Source organism: Homo sapiens, chromosome 8 (assembly GCF_000001405.40).
Source record: "Homo sapiens chromosome 8, GRCh38.p14 Primary Assembly".
In the NCBI taxonomy this organism is placed as follows: Eukaryota; Metazoa; Chordata; class Mammalia; order Primates; family Hominidae; genus Homo; species Homo sapiens.
This window is the reverse complement of record NC_000008.11, coordinates 71,912,450-71,929,824: the sequence shown is the minus strand read 5'-3', so window position 1 is coordinate 71,929,824 and position 17,375 is coordinate 71,912,450. Positions and strand designations below refer to the sequence as shown.

Below are 17,375 nucleotides of genomic sequence, written 5' to 3'. Positions count from 1 at the left end.
TTTTGTAATATGAGTCAAACTTCAGGAAAGCTCTCCTCTTTCCCCACACAAAGAAATTTTATGTTCCTATCTGGTGTAGAGCTATCTAATAACCAAAGAAAATCCCAAGATCTTTTTTCCTGGAAAAGCCACTTGTTTTAATGGAAGAGTCACTCTGTTCAGGAGAACGCAGCAAACTTAATTGGCAGGCACATAGCAGATGGTTCCTGGAGTCTACCCATGCACCTAATATGGCTAAAATAGTTATTAAAAGGCCAACATATGGGTTTTAAATTGCAGGGAACTAAATACTATGAACACCCCATTTTTATCATTTGTGATGTCACTTAGTATGTAATGAACTATTATTTCTCAAATTCTTCTGTGAATAAAGTTGTCCCAGAGAGGTAATGACAATGTTCTTTAAGATATTTGTTCTAGACACTCAGTTTCTCCATGAGTTTTCAACTGACTCTCAACTTTAGTTGAGAGAGTCATCACGCTACCTGACTTCAAACTACACTACAAGGCTACAGTAACCAAAACAGCATGGTACTGGTACCAAAACAGATATATAGAGCAATGGAACAGAACAGAGTCCTCAGAAATAATGCCACACTTCTACAACCATATGATCTTTGACAAACCTGACAAAAACAAGCAATGGGGAAAGGATTCCCTATTTAATAAATGGTGTTGGGAAAACTGGCTAGCCATATGCAGAAAACTGAAAATGGACCCCTTCCTTAACACCTTATACAAAAATTAACTCAAGATGGAATAAAGACGTAAACATAAGACCTAAAACCATAAAAACGCTACCATGAAACCTAGGCAATAGCATTCAGGACATAGACATGGGCAAAGACATCATGGCTAAAACACCAAAAGCAATGGCAACAAAAGCCAAAATTGACAAATGGGATCTAATTAAACTAACAAGCTTCTACTCAGCAAAAGAAACTATCATCAGAGTGAATATGCAACCTACAAAATGGGAGAAAATTTTTGCAATCTATCCATCTGACAAGGGCTAATATCCAGAATATGCAAGGAACTTAAATTTACAGGAAAAAAACAACCCCATCAAAAAGTGGGGGAAGGATATGAACAGACACTTCTCAAAAGAAAACATTTATGCAGCCAACAAACATATGAAAAAAGCTCATCATCATTGGTCATTAGAGAAATACAAATGAAAACCATAGTGAGATACCATCTCACACCAGTTAGAATGGTGATCATTAAAAAGTCAGGAAACAACAGATGCTGGAGAGGATGTGGAGAAAGAGGAACGCTTTTACACTGTTGGTGGGAGTGTAAATTAGTTCCACCATTGTAGAAGACAGTATGGCAATTCCTCAAGGATCTAGAACTAGAAATATCATTTGACCCAGCAATCCAATTACTGGGTATATACCCAAAGGGTTAAAAATCATTCTACTGTAAAGACATATGCACATGTATGTTTATTGCAGCACTATTCACAATGGCAAAGACTTGGAACCAACCCAAATGCCATTAATGATAGACTGGATAAAGAAAATGTGGCACATATACACCATGGAATACTATGCAGCCATATAAAAGGATGAGTTCATGTCCTTTGCAGGGACATGGATGAAGCTGGAAACCATCATTCTCAGCAAACTAACACAGGAACAGAAAACCAAACACCACATGTTCTCACTCATAAGTGGGAGTTGAACAATGAGAACACATGGACACAGGGAGGGGAACGTCACACACCAGGGCCTGTTGCGGGGTGGGGAGGTTGGGGATGGATAGCATTAGGAGAAATACCTAAGGTAGGTGACGGGTTGTTGGATGAAGCAAACCACCATGGCACGTGTATACCTATGTAACAAACCTGCACGTTTTGCACATGTATCCCAGAACTTAAAGTATAATTTTAAAAAAAGTAAGGATTTACCAAATTTGTGTTGTTCAATGTCAGTATTCTAAGGTACAATACTTTGTCTCCAGCCAAGTACTTTTTATATTTATTATTCATTCATTTAGCAAATACTGTGCATGCCTAAAATACAACTCATCATGTTGATGATCATTTTCATCAAGTGCTGCTCAAAGTACGTTAAACTTTTGGTTTCCTTGAATACATTGAGCCTAGCTTTTAAATAATTCAGTTAGTTTCCTGCTATTCTTATTAGAACCTCTCCAAATGAGTAAAACAATGAACAACAACAATATATGCCAAACATTTTAATAAACAACACTTTTTTAGAGAGTAATAACAACTCAGGACCATTTTTATTTAATCTTTGATGAAGTCAATGTTCAAACACTTAAACTTTGCTTTGATAGAATTTTCTATGACATTAGGGTTTTGTATTTTAAACTGATGATCCCTTTGTCTTCTAGGGTTTTGTTCCATAATCTGCAAACCAGGGATTTGGCTCATTCGATCCAAATAGCTCCTTCCAGCTGCATTATTATCTAAACACACCTTAATTCAGTAACGTACAACTATACATAAGTTGCCATCTAGAAATTGTCCAAATGCAATAAATTCTCAACCATCAGTGCTCGACTTTACCAGAAAACTTAATAATTTTACAAAAGCATGATTTTTAAAAAAAATTAGGAGAGAAGGAGGCCAAAGAAATAGGTTTCAAGAATAGCAATCTGGAGATTGTGCTGAGAATATCACCAGAGTACTTGAGCTGTGGCTTGAAGAGACAAGATGCTTAAAGGAGTAGAGGAAGCAGATGTAGGGGAGAGGGAAGTGCCCTGACTGGGAATAGGAAATGGGTTCTGTTCCCAGCCCTGCCACGTACTAGCTGTGCCTGCCACGTACTAGCTGTGTGCCTTCAGATAAGTCCTTTAACCTCTCTGGGCCCTGGTGTCCCCAGCTTTAAAGAAGTCTAGGTGATGCCTTATGTCTAATCGAACTCTGCAAAATCTATGATTCTATGTGAGACATATGATTCAACATCTAGGTGCCAAAACAAAAATGCTCAGCTTCCCCTAAAAGAGAAGGCATCATTATTTTACACAGAAACCCTTTACCATTCAGATAGTCTTTCCCACCACCCCTTCTGTTCCAGCCTAGTTTCCTGCTTTTATTGCTGAGTCTCTTGACAAAACCAATTGTTCCCAGTAGTGTAAATGCTTCTGCTTATCTCTTGAGCTCTTCCAAGAGTGCTGATGAAACTCTTGGGTGACCCAATTCTCCTTGTTCCACTCAGTTATGTGGGAAACAAGATTTGTCTTGATGTTTCCCATTACCAAAAAATGGAATGCATTCAGCCCAGAGCTCCAAGTTATTAGCCAGGAAGATAAGCAGAAAAATAATTGAAACTCAGAACAGCTGCAGTCCCTGTTAGGTCCTTAAATTTCTAGTAATTAAGTACTAAAGGGAACTTAGCAAATGTAAGTCTTTCATTTGTTTGCAAAGGTCATGAAACAACTGCAAAAAAAAATGAGGGTTATGTTAGTTTACAGAACACATATATTTACGAAACAATTATTAGCAAAAAGAAGTTATACTTGGCATTAACTTTTATTCCTATTTAATATGAATTCTATCCTTGAGTTTAAAAAAAGCACTAAAAATGGAATTCCTGTTAAGAAAATTTAGCTAAGTTTTTACCTAAATTATCTTCATAGTGCAATTTACACCATTCTTTGTACAGGCATTATTTTTGATTATGTAATCTTTGGGTGTACTGTAGATTTGTGCTTATCTCATTCATTTATCCATTCATTCATCCAAAGCAGGCACCTGGCTTCAGGAGCACCTGGCTTTCCTCTAGTTCAGAGCCCCCAGGTCGGAGTGTATTCACTGAATAGCCACAATAATAGATGCTGAAAGTCAATGACAGCCTCCTTCTACCTGTGAATTTGACTTATGTTATCTAATGATTATCCCCTTTCATCCTGCCCTCATACACACATCCAAAACATTCTTCTTAAAAGAATTTTAGAAGTTTTATTATCATATTTATTTTCCTGTGTAAAAAAAAATAAAAGAACATATATACTCTTTCCAACTTCATTTTTTACTTGGTTAAAACGACTACAGGATACAATTTGGAATGACGTCTATGGTAAATAAAGATAGGTAATATGGTGGATATGTAATAGTTGTAGAGCTAAACAAGAATCAGAAAATTAAAGGCCTCTGAAATGAATAGAAAGGAAGCATGGAGTATGCTCCAGAAAGGCTTTAGTATGAGCGAAGGCTGGTGGAGACCAGGGTTGTGGCTTTCAAAGGCCTAAGAAGAAGGACATCTACTTGTCTGGTGGCTGAGATTATAACCAAAGCAGTTAGAGTATGGAGAGCTTAAGATGGCAACAGTATTTGAAAGTCATCCAAGAGAGAAACGTGGATGTGGTGGGGGGTAGTGCTGAGTGTGGAGGGCAGATGGGGGTCTATTGGTCAGCGCTACACAGTAAGAGGAGCTGACATTCACTGGGTCCTATTCTGCATTAACCCTCACTGCAATCCTGGGAAGCAGCTACTATTAACATGTTTTTATCAATAAAAATATTTTCATACTAAAGCTTATGCAATTTAATAATTTCCTCTAAGTCTCAAAGCTAATAGTGCCCAACTCAGTGCTAGCACTCCAATCTACTCCAATCCAATCTACTCCAATTCCAGAGCCGAGCTTGCTTAGACAACCTCCCAGGGACACATAGTCACTTTCTCTAGGATGTATCCTTTGAGTACTTTGTTCTCCCTATGCCTCTGATTCTACTGGAAACATCACACTGTTCATAATTCTTTGTTTCTCCATTTTTGTCTCTCCCACTAAGTGCTATAAACTCTCCTGGGAGCTTCGGTCTGACTGAATCATTGGTAAATACAGGTAATAAAATGCACTTCTTTGGTATCATGTGAATATTGGTATGTCTTCCTGTTTGACTTACACTTTTCCTATATTTTGCTGATGCTGCAGTAAGTTCTTTCTCTATAGTCTGCATTTCAATATCTAAAGAGAAGATTAAAATATGTGGTTTAGTTTAGGTTTCTTTCTTTATTTTTCTTCTTTTGTTTTTTCCCAAATGGGAATCTCTAGCACTAGCATCTGGAAATAAGATGGCATCTGATCTAAGGAAAATATATATAGTGTGTGTCTGTGTGTGTATGTGTGTGTGTGTGTGTGAGAGAGAGAGAGAGAGAGAGAAATATGTGTGGGTTAGCATGTGATGTGAACTTAAAATTTTTAATATATTATAAATTGTCCCAGACATATCGAATGAATAAAGAATAACATGGAAAATGCCCATGTATTCACTCCTCATCTTAGAAAAGTAAATTTTTCAAATACAGTTGAGCTCCTATAATGTTCCACTCATTAAAAGAAACAAAAATGAATAAAAATTTTGTGATGAACTGGATAGAAATTACAGTACATGTGTCTATTTCATTTTTAAATTAACTTAAAAACATTCAGTTTTATTGACAATGAGTCTCTCAGTTTCTGTGACCTAATTCTGTATTTACTTGGATATCTATGTTCTTTCACATTTAAATCACCCAAACCAGAAATTGCCAACTTCCCCATCAGATTGCCTTCCCCCATGGGTTTCCCCATTCTGCAAGAGGCATTGCAAATTTCCCAGGTCACCCAGGTTTGATGTATTGCATCATACTGAATCAGATCATTTCCTTTGCAGCTCCCACTAAGCCTAGTCGGTCTCCAGATGCTGTTGTTTTGTTTCTCTGTGTTTCTGCGTCTTCTCAGCTACACTCTAGCCAAGAGGTTCTCAAGTTGTGGCCTGGAAACATGGGAACTCCCAAGAATCTTTCAGAGTATCATGAGTTCGAAACTACTATGATGGGAATACTAAGGTGTGATTTGCCATGTTCACTGTTTCTCTCATTAGCATGCAGTGGAATTTTTTAGTCCACACATTGTGCAACATCACAGCCCACTGGATGTATGACAATCCACCTGGATTCCAGTAAGCCAAACATTAAAGAAATCTGCAAAAGTATAAAACAGTATAATTTTTCTCACTATATATTTTTAAAAGCATAGTTATTTTTCATGAAAAAGCATAGTTACTTTTATGTTAATGTATAATGGGTTTATTGTTATTTTAAAATGATTTAATAATTTTCTTAAAATAATTCTGTTTTAATTTCAAATACCATAAACATCGACAGATAAAAACCAAACAAACAAAACACTTCTGGACTCCTCAATTATTTTTAAGAGTATCAGTACACCCATGACCAAAAATTTGAGAACTGGTGTACTAGTCCAGGCCTTCACTGCCTGTTCCTGGACTTCTGCAACATCTTCTCAATGATTTTCCAGCCTCCAGGCCTCTGCTCTTCTATCATTCTACACATGACTGCTGAGTTCACCCTTCTTACAAAAGCAGTTTTTACGTAATATTATTTTCCTGCTCAGAATCCATTAATGTAGGAATCTTTAATTCTTGTAATATTTTTCAGCCTTATTGATTCTCCAATTTTATCAACCCCACCTTTTCCCCAAAACCATCTACTTTAGGCAGGCTGATTGCACTGACCCCAGAACATGCTTCCCTTCTCACCTCCAGACCTTTGCTTAGATTTTTCCGTATTCTATCCCTGCCCTGGAGATTGGACGTCTCTACTATGCCCAGCCCAAGGCAGCACAGAGAAGTGCTCAGTTAAGAGCATGTCCTTTAGAGTCTGGCTTGAATTCGAGTTATCTTTTACTAGCTATTTGATGTAAGCAATCCACTTTCTGGAACTGTGAAACAGAAAATAAAGTACAGTAGTTCCTAATTTAAATAGCTATTGTAAAGCTATATGAGGTCATGTTTAATAAGTGTATGTTTAGTAAGTATTAAGCAACGTTGTTGTTCTCTAAAACCTGCCTAAGATTCTAGTTTTTCCTTGTCTATGAAAGCTTCTGTCTTCTTCATCTAACACTGTTCTCTGTCTTACTGGCACTGTTCACTTACTGGCATGGTAGTTTTCGTGCACACATCTTGACTTCCCTAGTGAGATGAGAAATGGCCATGTAAACGCTCTCTTTTTCTGTATATGTGTATATCTGTTTTCTTAGACCTTCCCAGTGCTGTTACACTTGATTCAATAAATTCAATATGTGTGTCATTATTCCTTGGCTTTCCATAAAATGATACACATAAACCAATTCTCAGCTAATGAGGGACAAATAAACACATTTGATCTATAACCTTTCATTCATCCTGCCCTTCTCAGAACAGCTAGGAAGTCTTCCTCTAGGATAATAAATCCATTCATTTGAAAAAGGAAACTCAAACAGGAAACATTTTATATCGAGAGGCAGATCTGATGATAGAATCGTCCAAACTACACAAAAATGAGGCCAAAGGCTGGTTGATCCTGGCTGCAAATCAATCCTACTGTGAAATGACTTTCAGCCATCCCCAGCTTCTTCGAAGTGTGCTGGGAATTTACAGTCTTGAAATCTTCAGTTAGGTCTCTGTCAGTTAGTGGCGGAAGTGAATTGATACAGGGTGTGGAAAAACCTCCAACCAAGAGTTCAGACTTGCTCTGACATCCTCTAAGGTCATGAACAGCTGCTTCACGATTGGGAGTTGGTCCTTTGGCCTCTGGAGATTAGCTTTCTGGTCTGCTAAATGGACCAGGCTTGTTGAGGGATCAGATTAAATAAAAATGCATACATGCACCTTTAATAAGACTGTTGTGTAATGCTGAAATCTCTGGAAAATATTTCAGAGATTAAAATTCTAAAAAGTGTGTGTGTTAGTGCTGAGATACTCCATTTTTTTAAAAAAGGGGCAATATTCCTAAATGACCTAAAAACACAAAGTTATTTATCTTAAAAGCTTCATTCTGGAAAGCAATCACTTATTATGTCTCAGGGCATTATAACGCTGTAGACAGCAGGCATCGGATCTTTTGAAATATATAGTACATTGACTATTAAGAAGAATATAATTTGCCTAAATATTCTTAGAGGTCTTTGCAAAGGCCATGATTCAAAGAGGAAATAAAGTTCATATTTAGGCAATACTTGGATATAATATCTTGGATATATGCCAGTCTTTTTCTTGTTATGTTAGAGAGGCAGTACTGCAGAGTGGCCAAAAGTGCAAGTGCTAGCAAGAGCCAAGCTGTCTGGGTTCAAAGCCTGGTGCTTTCACTTGGGAGCCATGTGATTGAGTATATCATTTAATTTCTTGGTGCTTCAGCTATCTCGCTGGTAAAAGGGACACCACAATATTTACCTCATATTATAGGTTTGTTGTGACAATTACAAGATTATTATTCTTGTTTGCGTCTTGCCCATGGGCCAAAATAGTTTGATTTTTAATGCAATGAGTTTATATATAAAGCATGTCAGCATCTTTGGGTAACTAAAGGAGTGCAGAGAAAATCGCTGCTCTGTGATATCAATCACATGAGAAACCAGCTTTGTCCTGAGGCTCTGGAGGCAGAGTTGAGAGGCATAGTGTTTTCAAATAAGTCCTTTGTTATATATGGATGTAGTGCAGTGCTTCTCAAACTATTTGTGGTAGAAAACTATCAGTGCTTCTCAAACTATCTGTGGTATTTTCTGGTTTAATTTCCAATTTGTTGTGTATCAGTATTTTTGTCAAATACAATAAAAATATCATGGCAATGTCAAGTTGCTATGAAAGTTTCTGGCTGCCTATTCTCATTTTCTATGTTTATCTCATTGTGGACCAAGAGCAAAATCTCACAGACAGCACTCACTCACAGATGGCCCACACTATGAGAAGCCCTGGTATGGTGGACAATGGACTGCCTAGTATCTAACCTCTCTTTCTAAGTTTGAGGAGTTTCCAACCTTATGAGGCATAGAGCTGATCTCATACTCTAGAAGCTGAAAAGATCAGCTACTTGCATTTCTGAAAAGATCAACTACTTGAATTTCCAAGTCTTCCTTTTACCTAAAATATTGGCATGTGAACCCACGCAATGTCAGTCAATTGCAAAGGACCCAGACTTTGAATCAGAAGTATAATCGAAGAAATGGGGATTATCCAGAATGCATTTGGGTAATGTTGCTTGCAGATACATCCAGTTCCCAAAGGCAGTGGTGCCAACAGTTCCAGTAGCTGTATCCCATGTCTGGGTGGTGATTGTATCAGCTATCTGTTGCTGTGAAACAAATTACCCCAAAGTTTAATGACTTAAAACAAAAATAAACATTTATTTCTCTCTCAGTTTCTGTGGGTCAAGAAGCTTGGCTAAGCATAGTAGTTCACACCTGTAATCCCAGCACTTTGGGAGGCCAAGGTAGGAGGCTTGCTTGAGCCTAGGACTTTGAGACCAGCCTTGGCAACAAAACAAGACCCCATCTCTACAAAAAATAAAACAATTAGCCGGGCATGGTGGCATGTGCTTGTAGTCTCAGCTACTTGGGAGGCTGAGGCAGGAGGATCGCTTGGGCCTGGGAGTTCAAGGCTGCAGTGAGCTATGATGACACCACTGCACACTAGCCTGGGCAACAGAGCAAGACACTGTCTCTCTTAAAAAAAAAAATACCTTAGAGCAACATGGCTGAAGACACTGTCTCTTAAAAAAAAAACACACAAAAGAAAAAAGAACTTAGAGCAACATGGCTGAGTAGCTGTGGCTCAGTCTCTCAAGAGCTTGCAGTCAAGACATCAGCTGGGGCTGCAATCATCTGAAGCTATGAGTGAAGACAGAGGGCTGGCTTCCAAGGTGGCTCACCAGCATGAAAAGTTGGTGCTGGCAGTCAGCAGGTGGCTGCAGTTCCTCTCCTTGAGGCTCCTTGCATGACCTCAGGGCCTAGCAGCTGGCTTCCCCCAGAGTGTGGGAGACCAAGGGGAAGCTTCAATGTCCTTTATAATCTAGCCTTTAAGTCACGTGCTGCCACCTGTATTGGTCACACAGAGCTGCCCTGACTATGTGTGACAGAAGACGGCACAAGATCACAAATGTCAGGATCTGAGACTCACTAGGGCCATCTTGGAGACTGACAAATAGGGCAGGCTATGGGATCTGTAACCCGTGGAAGTAGCAATTGGTCTATAGAGGACCAGTTCAAAACATATTTTAAGGCATCTTGCAAGACTGAGATATCTCCAAGCCTGGTTCTCTGGCCCCCCAAGAGATTCAGTGGGTTTCCAAAATTATTTATCACATTTCTTTTCTGATAAATTAACCAGAGTTGCCTTCAAGTTGCTTGCAAATAAAAACTCTGATATATCTTGAAGAAAAGACTTAGTAATGTTTTCACTTGACTTTCCTGGAAAGCAATCTAGTATCATTTTGTAACAGGAATAGTTTGGTTATGAAAGATTAGTATATACACTATGTTTCCAAGTGTGTACAGCTTTGTCTCATGGTGATTCATCTTTTATTGCTGAACTTACGGTCTGACTTTTAGATGGAATTGTTTGTACTATTAGGAGCATAGGTTTTTACAAGTTAAGATTTAGGACACAAAAACATTCCACTGAAAATAACCATATTAGCAAAAATGATCTTTAAATATATGCAACAGAGTGCTTTTCAGATAACCTTTTCAGTTTAAAGAAATCTCCCTAATGACAAATGAGATTGAGAAAAGCAGTATAGTTTAGTATAAGTGAGCATAGAAAGAAAGCATGTAGAGCCGCTTTGTAAACAATTTGACATTACCTATGATAACTGAACACACACATCCTTATAACCCACCAGTTCCTCTGTTCAGTTTATACCTCAAAGAAATGCATGCATGTGTTCACCAAAAGACACGCATAACCATATTCCCACCTGCACAATTCATTATCCAGACACAAAAGAATAAATAATGCATAACTCCATTTATATAAGGTACAAAAGTCAAACAGGCAAAAGTTTAATGGTGTTATTAGTTAGGATAGTGGCTACCCTTAGGGGTACAAAATGCCATTGAGTATTAGAGAAAAAGAGATGGGTTTCTGCGATAATGCTCTGGTGATAATCTAGTTCCTGATTTGAGTGCTGATTACACAAGTATATTCAGTTTGTGAAAAAAATCATCAAGCTGTACACTTATAAGGAACATGCTTTTTTAACATGGTATATCATATTTCAGTGGAAGGTTTACTTAAAAATCATAATAGATATATTAATTTCCCAATTATCTTTTTTATTTTCTGTGGATTTATAAAAATGATAAAATAAAATAAAAATAAGACATTATTTTCTTATACTACAACTTATTAGTAAAAGCAAAATGTATAAAAATTTCACTTAGATAAACTAGTGTATTGCTTTCATTGTTACAGTAACTGAAATGTATTTATTTACAAATTTATTTGCATTTTAGAAGCTTCTTTTTGGGGTAAAAAAAGGAAGGAAGGAAGGGAAAACTTTTTACCTTTTTCTAAAATGGAGAAGTTGATTTTTCTCTGTTATAGTTAAGAACCCATTACTTTTTGAACTTGGCAAAGAAAGAGTCCAAAAGGAATTTGCAGGGACAACCTAAGTAAGTGATGATGGAGTTGGAGTGAATGTTTGAACTTCAAGTGCTATGTATAACCATAACCAATGTGTTTAAACCAACTCCAGTGGCACTGAGCGACACCTGTGATGCGTGTCCTTTTGGATGAAAGTTGTGGCTAACTTGTTTACTTGACTGAATTTCCTGACCTTTATTTTAACATGAGCCTTGAAGGGAAAAAATGTTCTTTGCAAAAACATTCTATCTGGAATCCTGAAAAAAATTCTAAAAGACAGTTCAACTATTTCATGACACCATGACTAACTTTTATGACTGAAACTTAGCGCACACACACACAAATGCCTTCCTCAAAAGTCTATGAACAAATCTAGTTACATTAGCTTATCCCAAATAGAATCTCTTGTGACAAAAGAAATCTTTGATTTAGGGCAGAATTCAGATCAGAAGAACTTCGTTTTCATTGTGCATTGTTTTTACTTTGAGACCATGTCAGAGAGCATGCACAGACCTTTCAAAAAAAATGGCTACCTACTATTAACCATAAGACTGCATAACAAAGCCATGCTACACTTACACTCACACTCTGAGAGCTATGGCAGCTGAACATGGTGTCTTCTAAAGCTGTCAAACCAACTGCCTGCCTTTCAGGCTTTGTTCTGGGATGGTATCAGGGTATGCCTGCTCCAGGATCCTTCTTAGATTAGTGATGAGGATAGCTCAGGAATACTTGGCTGGCCTAGGGATTCCCAGGAAGTGCCTTGCTCCCTGCTTATTTACCCCACAGTCATTTTATATTAAATTTTATAAAAGTTTAAAATCTAATGTCTGAATAGAATGTTCTATTTAATCATCATTGGTGTTTTAGATTAGTTCTCTGGTCCGTAAAAACATTCTTTGCAAAAGCATTTTTTCTTTTTAGAATCCTGGGAGGAACTCAAGATGTCCATCTGGTCATCTATTGGGTTACTTGTGGATTCCCCTAACTCAGAATCCATCTCACTCAATTGTTTGTTTTTGAATTCCTAGCATTCGGCCAAGCTTCCAGCACACAGTAGTTCTTAATAAATGTTTGATGAGTGAACAAATGAATGATATGTGACCCTGGGCAATAAGAAAGAGCTAGAGATCCTTGACAGAGTTATAAACTGATAAATTGAACTGAGTGGGCCTGAGACAACAAACCCATTTCTCAGGAGGGAGTTACTCCAGGGCATCAGGTGGGCTCTATGAGGTCAAGGATTAAAGGATAAGAGAGTTTTCTTATCAGCAATCACCTGTGAACAGGTCCCAGTGCACCCAGCTTCAACTGTGCTGACCATCCTCCAGGCCAAGCTAACGCCAGTTCGGTAGGTGTCAGAACCATTCACTCAAACCCTGTGTATGGGCAGCTGGAACAGTTCTGAAGGCTAAAGTGCACCCGGCTGGCTCCATTTATCACTCTAAAGCTTCGTGGCTTGGAACAAGTCCTCATTCACTCATGCTTATTTTAAAAATAGTTTCTAAATGTCTATGAAGTGCTAGGCATCAAATTTGTCATAAAAATTTATTATGTACATTCATTTATTTCCATAAAATAAGGATAAAAATATCCATCATGCGAAGTTATTGCAAAGCTAAAGAAATATAGTATGTAAATCCCCTAACATTTTTATCTGACACACAGTAGGGGTTCAAAAAATGACAGCTATCAATACTGAATATAACAAAATGCAATTTAATTATAGTCAAAAACAAAACATGATTTGGGGAACATTACAGTAGTTAAAAGTCAAATATTGAAGTTTTAAAATTATTTGAATAGTATTTTCTGATTCTCTTTGAACTGTGCTATTTATACTAGTTTGTAACAAAAAATAGACTTTTTCTGCAGGAAGTTAAGATCTTTTTATGTGATCCAATATGATGAAAACTACACTTATGTATTTCTAAATTATAAAACTCTAATAATTACTATATTGTAGTTTCTCATTATTTTCACATTTATTAAATACTGAGTTTCTCTTCTAAGGATCACCAGTGTTCCCCATGCTAAATCAATTTCATCTTATAGAATGCACTTTAATGGCTACAAGATCAACAGTATTTTCCAAAAGGATGTGACAATCCATATTTATGAATAATTAAAATTAGTCTCAGGCCCTTTCAACCCTAAATTAACTTCCTCTCAACTGAAACTGTTAAAGCTTCATTATTGAAGCTTAAGATTTTACTTTTTATTATTGAGAAAACACTTCAATAAAAAGCAAATTTAGTCATTTATACCTCAGTATCAATAAACTTCAAAGATCTTTTCCTAAGCAAGGTTTGAAAGGTAGGGAGCAGAGAAAGTTTCTAAAAGAAAACGATTTTCACATATTGGCACGTATAAAGGAATGCCTCACAGGTGGGTGAGTAGCTTTAAGGGGTCAATAGAAATGGTGCTGAAAAGGAAGGGGAAGGGCACTGGAGCCATGTGCCTTTGTATTGATTTTTTTGAAATATCTAGCCCTCAAATTAATAATAATGAAATTGGGCATCAATAATTCATTAAATCATGAGACTATTGAGCTAAAAGTGGTTCTGTGACATCAAGCCAATCATTAAAATTCTCTGGACTTTAATTTCCTTACCTACAAAATGAGAATTCCATTAAACAATTCTCTGACAATTTATGATTTATTGATCAATAGCCCATATTAATGGTTCTCAAACTTTTCCGTGCATAAGGATGCCTTCTGTGTGTGGATTCTTGGACCGCATCAGTTACAGCACCTGCCGATGTAACATATACAGCCACTGCCCCACCTATATCCCTTGAATCCCACTATCTGCTTTCTCCAGATGACTTTGAATGGCCAGGGGCTGCCTCTCTGTGCCGGAGGACTCTTGCCAGAACTACTGAAGTACAAGTGCCAGGGAAGTAACACTCCCTGGGAGCAACCTTTAACCAATAATGATGGAAGCTGGTGTATAAATATGCAAGCTTCCTTGCCTCTTCAGAAGAATTATTCTGAGAAGTATCTACCATTTCTCAAAGTTTCCCCATGAAATTAAGCTCCAGTCATCCGTATTGGAAGACTGCTTATTCACATAGCCTTAATAATTCACCATTTACTGGCTATCTTTCATCTCTGTACTACTTTGCCCTGGGTTCCAGTAAATACTTCAACTTCAAAAGAAACACTGGAAAATCTAGTTATTGAGTCACCTAACAATAAAAACATACCTTTCCTATCAGGCCCTGCATTAACTAAGATTTAAGAAACAATCTGTATTGAGGTAAATGCCTATCCTTATGCTCAGAAATAAAGGATAAGTGCCTTTCAAAACAAAGCAAACAACAACAAAAAATAGATAGCTAAATTCCAGTTCCTCAAAATCAGCCATTCACCCCTAGTGTGAAGAGAAATCCAGATATGGAAAGCTATGTACTCTCACATTTTTTCTATCAAAACTGCCTCCTCCCCAAATCCCCCTAACAAATGTCCACGTAACATAATATCGGATATCATTTTAAAAATCCCCTATCTCATACTTGCATAATAACATCAACAACTTGATTGCTACATTACTCTGCATTTTGTAAATTAAGTACATAATTAGAAAAATGTTTGTCATTTTCCTTACAAATATAGCATTAATGAGCTGCTAGGTACCTATTAAATAGAAATAAATGTATCTTGAAATTGTGTATTAGTTTATAAATCCATAGAATAGAAGATCAGTATAAGGAGGGTGCTTAAAATTAGCTGCCAACTTTCTTCCCCTCAAAAATATGGTTCTGGTATTTTCTACCAATGTTTTGTCTGGAAAGTTTTGAGCCCAATCAGAGGGAACACAAATAATTTCCACATTGTCACCACTCCTGGAAAACACAAGTCCAGAAACCTGAAAAAGAGTTAAACTGGGCACCTAAGAATGCAGCTCTTTACCTTCTTTCTGGTCATCCCTGATTCTAAAACCATCCCTCTGAGCCAAATAGTCCTGAAACAAAGTAGAGTCTTTATTCAGGGTAACAGAAGCGAGAGCCACTGGCTTTTAGTGAAATTGTTCTATCACCCTAGTCTCCAGAACACATCAGTCCCCGCTCTGCCTTGCTCCTGTCCAACTTTGGGGAACTAAGTTGGTTGTATTCAGTGAGTCTCTTACACAGGTATCATCAACATATCAAAATCCCTAATTTAACATAATGTTTAATATATTAAATATAATATTTTCCAGTTTTCTAGATAAAGAAGCCAATGTTAGCATTTCCCTTCTAGACCTCGTTGGAACTGAAGCATTGTTTCTGGCAAGGGTATTGTATGTGAGTTTATCAGAGATTTTTTTTCCAGGCATGTTTCCCAATCTGAGCTCTATGCAAAAAAAAAAAAAAAAAAAAAAGTCAATATCAACACTAAATTAGAATGTATAGGAAGTAGCTAAACTAAAAGATATCTATGAGATATTATTAGAAGATACATCTTGAAAATGCAATATAACTAAGTAGCTGTTTCATTCTAGGGTATGTTTAAAGAACCTTTAAAAATATATCAAAGTACAGAATGATTCAGCCGTTTGGCACATGTTACAACTCCAAGAGTTCACAGAAGTGGCCTCTGATAAGCCTTAGCCAGTTTTCTTAAGTATCAAACCAGTTAACAATATGAGTTCACCCTCAGAATTCTCAGGAAGCATAACTAATAACATTCCTGCTAAGTACTGTGCAGGCATAAAAGCCATATGCATTGGACAAGGATACTCAAGAGCTTCAGAAAATCACTTCATGGATATGAAAAATATTGTGTTTGAAATGTGAAGAGTTCTAAAGATTTATTTGGCTTTATGGGGAAAAAGACATGAAATAATATAGCTTTAGAAGACATGTCCAATAAATTTTAACTTTCAAACCTTAATTCTTATTTGGCCTTTGAATCAGTTCCCTTCACAATACCCCAAATAAGAGAGAAATAAATTTCTAGACCCTTGCCAAATTTGACACAAGAAAGAAATATTACAATTAAGCTGAATGGAAAAATCTCTGCAGATTTTAAGGACCTCCATTTGAAAAGCACCTGTTTTATTTTGTTTTGTTTTCATCACACTTAGCAAAATGTAAAATTCAATGGATACTATCCCTTCCTAGAGGTTCAAATCATCCAACTTTATCCCCAACACTTCTGCTTGAAAAGAGAACTTTGAAGCTCATAGGAGTAGACAAATTTCAACATGTTTCTTCTCCTTTCTGGATATGGGAGGATGGGGACAGAAATTTCACCAGCATTCTTTCCCTGGGGTAATTAAATTTGGGGCTTTGACCCTACAGTAAACCAAGAATAACAGAGATGCAATTGGTATTTTTAAAATGATAATATTATCTTATTTTAAATGTTCCAGAAATGTTAACTGAGAGGAAACAGTAATAAATAAAATAGTTTTTCTTGGAATCTCTGCTCCAGCCTTCCCATAAAACACTCCTCTCTCTCTCTCTCTCTCTCTTAAAGATACACACACACACACACACACACACACACACACACACTTTGGTCTCTATGTTCCGTATATCAAATGTCTTCCACCAACCTTAAAGAATCTGATAACTTCAGTAGTACCAGGACCATAGACTACACCCAAACTCCCAGAATGGACATGGCATTAAAATGCATGAATCATAAGAAATTATTTAAAAAATTACTCAGAAAAAATTTGACAGTGAGTCAGTAGCCTCATTTTTGGATAGTGCTTTATTACATCTGTATCCATCCATGCAAGCAACAGCGCATTAATTCCTCCAAGTAGTTTCATGGGATATTATCAACATGTACAGGCTCCATGGCTTTCCCCAGCCCACCCCGAAATATCTGAAACAAAGGGCAACACTCTTTACTAAAAAGTTATATGAAAAGTTTTAATCAGAGAAAACTTACATAATATACATGTCATATAATAAGGAATGAGACAACAGCAAGTATCAAAAAAATTTTACTGTGGCTTCAACAAAATGAAGTTCATTTGTCTCTTTTAACAAGAATTCTGAAG

General features: G+C 37.0%; 1 long non-coding RNA gene across 2 annotated transcripts in view, besides 1 other annotated feature; it reads right to left on the bottom strand.

Annotated features, from left to right (window-relative positions):
- MSC-AS1 (MSC antisense RNA 1) overlaps nt 1–17,375 on the bottom strand; it is a 213,190-nt gene that overhangs the window by 126,488 nt on the left and 69,327 nt on the right. The gene's annotated exons all lie outside the window — the stretch shown is intronic.
- Nucleotides 9,859–9,998: an enhancer, noted in NCBI's record as "active region_27524". NCBI's record gives its function as "activates an Ori minimal core promoter by ATAC-STARR-seq in GM12878 lymphoblastoid cells {active_cell/tissue: GM12878}" and the evidence as "EXISTENCE:reporter gene assay evidence [ECO:0000049][PMID:35858748]".